We start from the raw sequence: 6433 nt of genomic DNA, 5'->3' as shown, positions 1-6433 counted from the left end.
AGGGTCCCAGGATGGATGGACCCTTATCACGGGCAGCTGGCTTTCTCCTGTGTTCAGTGCTGTAGGCCAAAACCAGTTGTCTGTGTTACAGAGCCCGTTTTCTTATAAGAGCAAAAGGTAGATGTATTAATGTATGTTTGTTTTGCACATAGGAGAAAGGAGGAAAATGAGGGATTCAAACAGTGGGGGGTGGGGACTTTTGACCTAGCTGAGGCAGGGTAATATACAGGAAGGAGGGAGAGTAGGGAATAAGCAAATAACAGAGTGTTTCCATCCCTTTCCCCTCTCAGGGTGAATCACAGCTCTGAGCCCACTGGGGCCAGCAGTGAGCACTTATGTGTTGGGTTCTGAGATTCTGTAATCTCTGGGCTGAGATCCTGTACATATTGAGGTCGCCTGAACTGATGATGTTGTAATCCTTAGGGATCATTCTGTGGCGTGGTATGAGGCCAAAAATTAAGGCCTCATATTATGTGCCATCTTGACATCTGGTGAAACTGGGAGGGCCTCAGAAAGCCTAAATGTAAGTTTCTTTCCCTACTCTGCTCCCTAGGGGTGTGTATTAGTTAGGGTAAAAGGCTCAGCTGCTAGAACAAAAGACTCCCAAATACTGTAGCTTAAAGAACAAAGAAGTCAATTGTCTCCCACATAACAGTCAGAGGTGGGATGTTCCAGGTCAGCAGGTAGTTTTGCTCCACATGGATGTTCAGGATCCCAGTCTTATTAATTAATGACTCTGCCATGTTTATGTGGCTTCCAAGGTCACTTTTATTATTGCCATCCTGTCAGTAGGAGGAGAAAAATGTGCAAACTCAGGGCCATAAGGACCATACATGTTTTCGTAAACAAGTGAGACAGAAATGGCACGTGTTGTGTCCACTCATACCCCATCCCTGGCCTGCAGAGAAGCTGGGACTGCTGTTCCTGGCAAAACAGCCATGTCCCAATCACAGCTACTGTGGAGTAAGAGGAGCTGGACTTGGGTGGACAGCCAGCAGTTTCCTCCAGTAGGAGCAACTTGATGGGGATAAAGGGATATAGGGCTGGGACTCAGAGGATGTTAGTTCAAGTCCTGGCTTCCCCTCTTGCTACCTATGTGTTCTTGGGCAAACTCCTCTCCTCTGAGTTGTACTGTCTCTATCTTGATTCCAGTGTCATCTGTGGAATGAAGATGAGAGCCCCACATACCTCACTGAGTTATTTCAAGGATCAATGACATGCCGCGTAAGCTCAACTTTGCTGGCATGCATAACATATGCTGATGTCCTTGGCCTCTTCTGGCTTTATCATTCTGTGCCCTGTGGGCAGAGGATTCTCTGCCTTGATATCCTGGTTGCCTGTGAGGCTCATCTTCACAAATCAGCTGTTTATTAGGAGCCAGTGAGTCAATGGGGATTGGCGTGGGGGGTAACCCCAAGCGCTCAGCAACTCCTTATCTATGGCCAGCAGATCACTCTGGGGTGCCTGCCTCCACTTGCAGCTTTAGGAACTACGTTCCTTTTCTGCTAAGAAAATTGAAAGCATTCAGAAAGAAAGATGTGAACATATGTAGTGGAGGAATAAAAGAAGTCAGACAAGCATTAGAGCTGGGGTTTTCAATCTTGGGTTCACTGACCTTTGGAAAGGCCTATGTATGGACACTGGGGTTGTGAACCCTTTGAAAGTGCAATGCAAAATTTTGCGAGAATGGTGCACATGGCCTAAAAAGAATTTCCTTCAGGGGAGAAGTTCCCTGAAGTTACCAGAATCTGTAAGGGGTCCTTGGCTCGGGAGGGCTAAGAAGCCCGTGAATGGATAGACCATCTCAACCAGCACCCTGTAAAAAGGACAGTGACCAACTGGTATGTGTTTGGAGAAGGCAGTCCAGAAGCTGAGGGGACAGAGAGCAAATTTTATGAGAAGGACTTGTAGAAAGAAATTGGGCCATTCACTTTGGATAGGAGAGGCTGGGACATGAGGGCAGGACATAGATATGGCCATCAGATTTTTGTTGGGCAGGGTAGCAGTGCTCTGCCCACATCGCCCTGCACTCTTCATTCCTGAACATGTTCCTATGACAAGTTCTTGCAACTCTGGCTGAGGGTTTTCTCTGGCTGCAGAAGCTCACTGGTGCATGGGCCAGGTTGAAATACTAAGGATTTTATACCCCTGGGAGCAGTACTCAACCAATGATGGGTATAAATGGGTGGGTAAAAACCCAGCTTCCTCACCCCTTGGGTGGGATAACTCTAAGGTATCGTCTATGTCAGCATCGAACAATAGAAATATGTGAGCCATAAGTGTGAGTCATACATGCTTTTAAATTAAAGTAGAAAGAATTAGCTGGGTGCGGTGGTTCACACCTGTAATCCCAGCACTTTAAGAGGCCAAGGCAGGTGGATCACTTGAAGTCAGGAGTTCAAGTCCAGCCTGGCCAACATGGTGAAACTCCGTCTCTACAAAAAATACAAAAATTAGCCAGGCATGGTGGCGGGCGCCTGTAATCCCAGCTACTTGGGAGGCTGAGGCACAAGAATTTCTTGAACCCGGGGGGCAGAGGTTGCAGTGAGCTGAGATCATGCCGCTGCACTCCAGCCTGGCAATAGAGAGAGACTCAGTCTCAAAAAAGAAAAAAAAAAGGAAAAAAGAAAAACAAGTGAAATTAATTTTAACACTATATTTAACCCAATATATTAAAAATAGTCATTTCATAATCTTACATAATATAAAAATCATTACTGAGATATCTTACACTTTTTAAAAATACCAAGTCCTCAAAATCCGGTGTGTATTTTGCACTTATTCTACATCTCAATTTATACTAGCCACATTTCAAATACCCAACAGCCCCATGTGGCTGGTGGCTGCTGAGTTGGCTAGCAGAATTCTATATCATCTCCCAGAGGTTTTCCAGAAGGATTGAGCTACAGTTGCCCACAGTGGTAGCCTTTTCATTAACACATCCCTTGTTGGCTTCTGTTGCTAACCTGTCTTAGTTCCTCCGCCTCAACAGGGGTTCCTAAAAACACCTCCAAAATAAATGTCTACTTTTGGGGATCTCTTCCTGAGACAGGCAGTCACGAGAACAGAGGTGCTCTAGAGTAGCACTAGAGAGTAGCACTAGAACCCACAGATAAAAGTACCAGGAGAGATATAGGGACATCACTGCAGCTATTGATTAATTAGTTCATTCGTTCAAACATATGTGTTGAGCTCTTGCTGTGTGCCATGCACTCTGTTGGGCACTGTGCAAAAGGGGAGTAGGTATAAAGGTCCCCATCACATGGGTTGTCTAGGCAGATGCAGGATGACTGCTTGGTAGGACAGCTCCACAGGACTTCATGAATTAGGCTAGGATTTTGATCATGTGCTGTTTGGCATCCTTTCCAGCCCATCAACACTGCCGTTCATGATTCATCTGAGCCTTGGGGAAGCTTCTCACGTTGTTAATTGCCTGTATCCCATGGCACGCTGCTCCCTAAAGCTGCAAATCAAGGTTTTTGTGACATTTCTTCTCTAGCAGTGACTTGTGATTAGGTTGTTGTTCCTAAAAAAGGTCCATCCCTCATCATCTTTGCAATTTCCCCTTGATTTTCTTGTTTGGCAAATTGCAGTTCTCCAGATAAAGACTGGTTTGGAGTCTACTCACTTTCCCCCTTCATTACTCAGCCGGAAAATACACCTAAAACTCCTGTTGCTGGGACTTCAGAGACCATCTGGTTCAATGCCTGCATTTCAGAGATGGAGAAACTGAGGGCTGGGAAGGGGAAATTGCTTGCGCAAAGTCACATGATAAAATAATGGTACTGCTGAGATGAAAAGAAAGTGACTGGGGTCTCTATCCCCAGTCATCTCTATCCCCATCTCTTGGCCTCAACCTGTCCTGGCCCATGGGGCTGGCCCAGCGCAGGCTAATGTTGTGAGTTTACACACATCACTGGATGGGATGTGGAACCTACTCCAGGAAGGAAATGTTTCTTCTCGTGGTGGGAGAGAATGTTCTTGGTCCTGAATTGTCCTGAGGCTTTTGGAGGTGGCCACACAGTGGTTAGGGTGAGTCAGAATATCACCTCCTCTCCTGACTCTAGATGGGTCTCCTGGCTGCTCAGGGTATCAATTTACACTTCTTCAAAGTGGGAATGGTGACCATAATAACCATGTTGCCTCAGTTTGCTTTGGTGATAAAGGACAAATAAATCCTGTTTCAGCCCACAAGGTTGGGTCTCTGTTGAACTTGACCACCTCTCATTCCAAGCTGTGCATTGGTCTCTGTACCCAAGCCTCTCCAGCTTTTTCTCAGTCCTTCAAACATGCTGTGCCTTTCCTGCCACTGGACCTTTGTCTATATTGTTTCATCTGCCAACAACACTCTGCACCACCTTCTCTCTCTGTCTCTGTCTCTCTCTCTCTCTCTTTTTTTTTTCGACGTGAGAGTATTGCTATGTTGCACAGGCTGGACTTGAACTCCTGGGCTCGAGCAATTCTTCTGTCACAGCCTCCTGTATAGCTGGGATTACAGGTGCACACCACATCTGGCTGCCTTCTTTTTAACTGCTCATCTACTTACTCCTTGCCCATCCTTCAGATCTTAGCTCAAGAGAGGTCTTCCTGGACTGCTCGGATGAATTAAGGCTCTCTGTCATATTATATCACCACACATCTCTCTTTAGAGCATCTGTTGCAGTATTTAGTGACACTCTTATTGGTGCAATTAGGTGATTTTTTGTCTGCCTCATACACAAGACAGTAAGCTCCACGAGGATAGGATGACTGTTGTGTTCCTGGCACTAAGCACAAGACCTAGGAGATAGTAGCTGCACAATAAATATTTTCTGAGGTTTAAATGTTGAAAGCCTTTTTGCAAAACGATTGTTCACCTAATCCTTCTAGTCACCTAGTAATAGAAGTATTATCACACCTTGTGGCAGAGATGGTATTACTACGCAGATATTCCATATGTTGTCTTATGTTTCTTGGCTCCCTGTTTGCTCTTGCAAACAGCATGCAATTTATATTGCAGTTTCTTTCTTTCTTTCTGTTATCAGAGGTAGGCGGCACCAAGGTGCCTAGTTCTGGCTAAAAAAATATGAGTAGGGCTCATGCGTGTCACTTCTCAGATAGTTAGAATTCCAGTCTAATGCAGTTCTTCCCTTGCCATGTGAATATGGAAGCCTTACATTCCAGGTGTTGCAGCTGCAAGGTGGAGGAGACTGTGGCTGCCCATGTGACTATGTAGAGCACAGCCTCTCACAGGCTCACTTTGATTATTTATCATGAGCAATAAATCAATGCTTGCAGTATAAAGGCATCGATTTTTGAGCTTGTTTGTTACATAGCATAGCACTTAGTTTATCCTGACTGATAAACTCCCAAGAAAACTGAGCCCCAGAGAGGAGAAGTGGCACACTCAAAGTCACATGGAGTTAGGGTCAGAGCTGAGATTCTGCTCCTGTTGGTCTCAGGCGGTGGTGAGGACAATGGTAACAATTCATTGAAAATAATAAACTGCTGTGTGAAAGATGAGATTTTTCAAGGTGTTCTTCCAAAGGTGTCTGGTCTAGGGGCTCCATGCTCCACACTTTGTGGGATGGGGAGCAGTGGTGGAAATGGGGCTGTAGAGAGGCCACCATGGACCTGCTGGTCTGGAGGAGCTTGCATTACCCTCCAAATCTGAGCTGCTTGCCTCATAAGGACCACAGGGGCAACTGGTGGCTATGGCCAACTCTTCTGCCAATGTTGGCCTGTTTCTCCTGCAATGGAATTGTTCTGTCACGAATACCACAGAATCTGATTTTTTGGGGGTCAGCTAGTCCAACTCTCTACTCGACATTATGTCCCCTGGACCACATACCAGGCCAGTGGTCTTTCAGGCTTTGTGGGAACACATTCTGCATTTCCAAATCAGACTGGAGGTGAGCCAGCTACCAAAACTAGACCTCAGACTTCCAGCCTCTGCCTCTTCTGCATCTCCAAGTCACTCCCAGCCACTCCCAGCTCTCAGAGCAGAGAGACTGGCCTACCAAAGGCTTCTTAAAAGAAGTGGAGTGTGGCCGGGCATGTGGCTCATGCCTGTAATCCCAGCACTTTGGGAGGCCAAGGTGGGCGGATCACAAGGTCAGGAGATTGAGACCAGCCTGGCCAGCATGGTGAAACCCTGTCTCTACTAAAAATACAAAAAATTAGCTGGGCATGGTGGCACGCACGTGTAATCCCAGCTACTTGGGAGGCGGAGGCAGGAGAATTGCTTGAACTTGGCAGGCAGAGGTTGCAGTGAGCTGAGATGGCGCCATTGCACTCCAACCTGGGCGACAGAGTGAGACTCTGTCTCTTAAAAAAAAAAAAAAAAAAAAGTGAAGTGCATTCCAGGCAGAAGAAATATTATAGCTTGAGCAAAGGCATGGAGATTTCAGATAACTTGGTTTAGCAGGGACAAAAATTAAGAATGAGTATTTTT

The 6433-nt window shown here is 46.0% G+C and overlaps 1 annotated feature.

Moving 5' to 3' along the window:
- Window positions 354-872: an enhancer, noted in NCBI's record as "NANOG hESC enhancer chr20:41948123-41948641 (GRCh37/hg19 assembly coordinates)". NCBI's record gives its function as "activates a minimal SCP1, AML or CMV promoter by ChIP-STARR-seq in primed H9 embryonic stem cells {active_cell/tissue: H9 hESC(primed)}" and the evidence as "EXISTENCE:reporter gene assay evidence [ECO:0000049][PMID:30033119]".

This window comes from Homo sapiens, chromosome 20 (genome assembly GCF_000001405.40).
Source record: "Homo sapiens chromosome 20, GRCh38.p14 Primary Assembly".
Taxonomy (NCBI): Eukaryota; Metazoa; Chordata; class Mammalia; order Primates; family Hominidae; genus Homo; species Homo sapiens.
The sequence above is the reverse complement of the archived record's forward strand: the minus strand, read 5'-3'. Positions and strand labels throughout refer to the sequence as shown.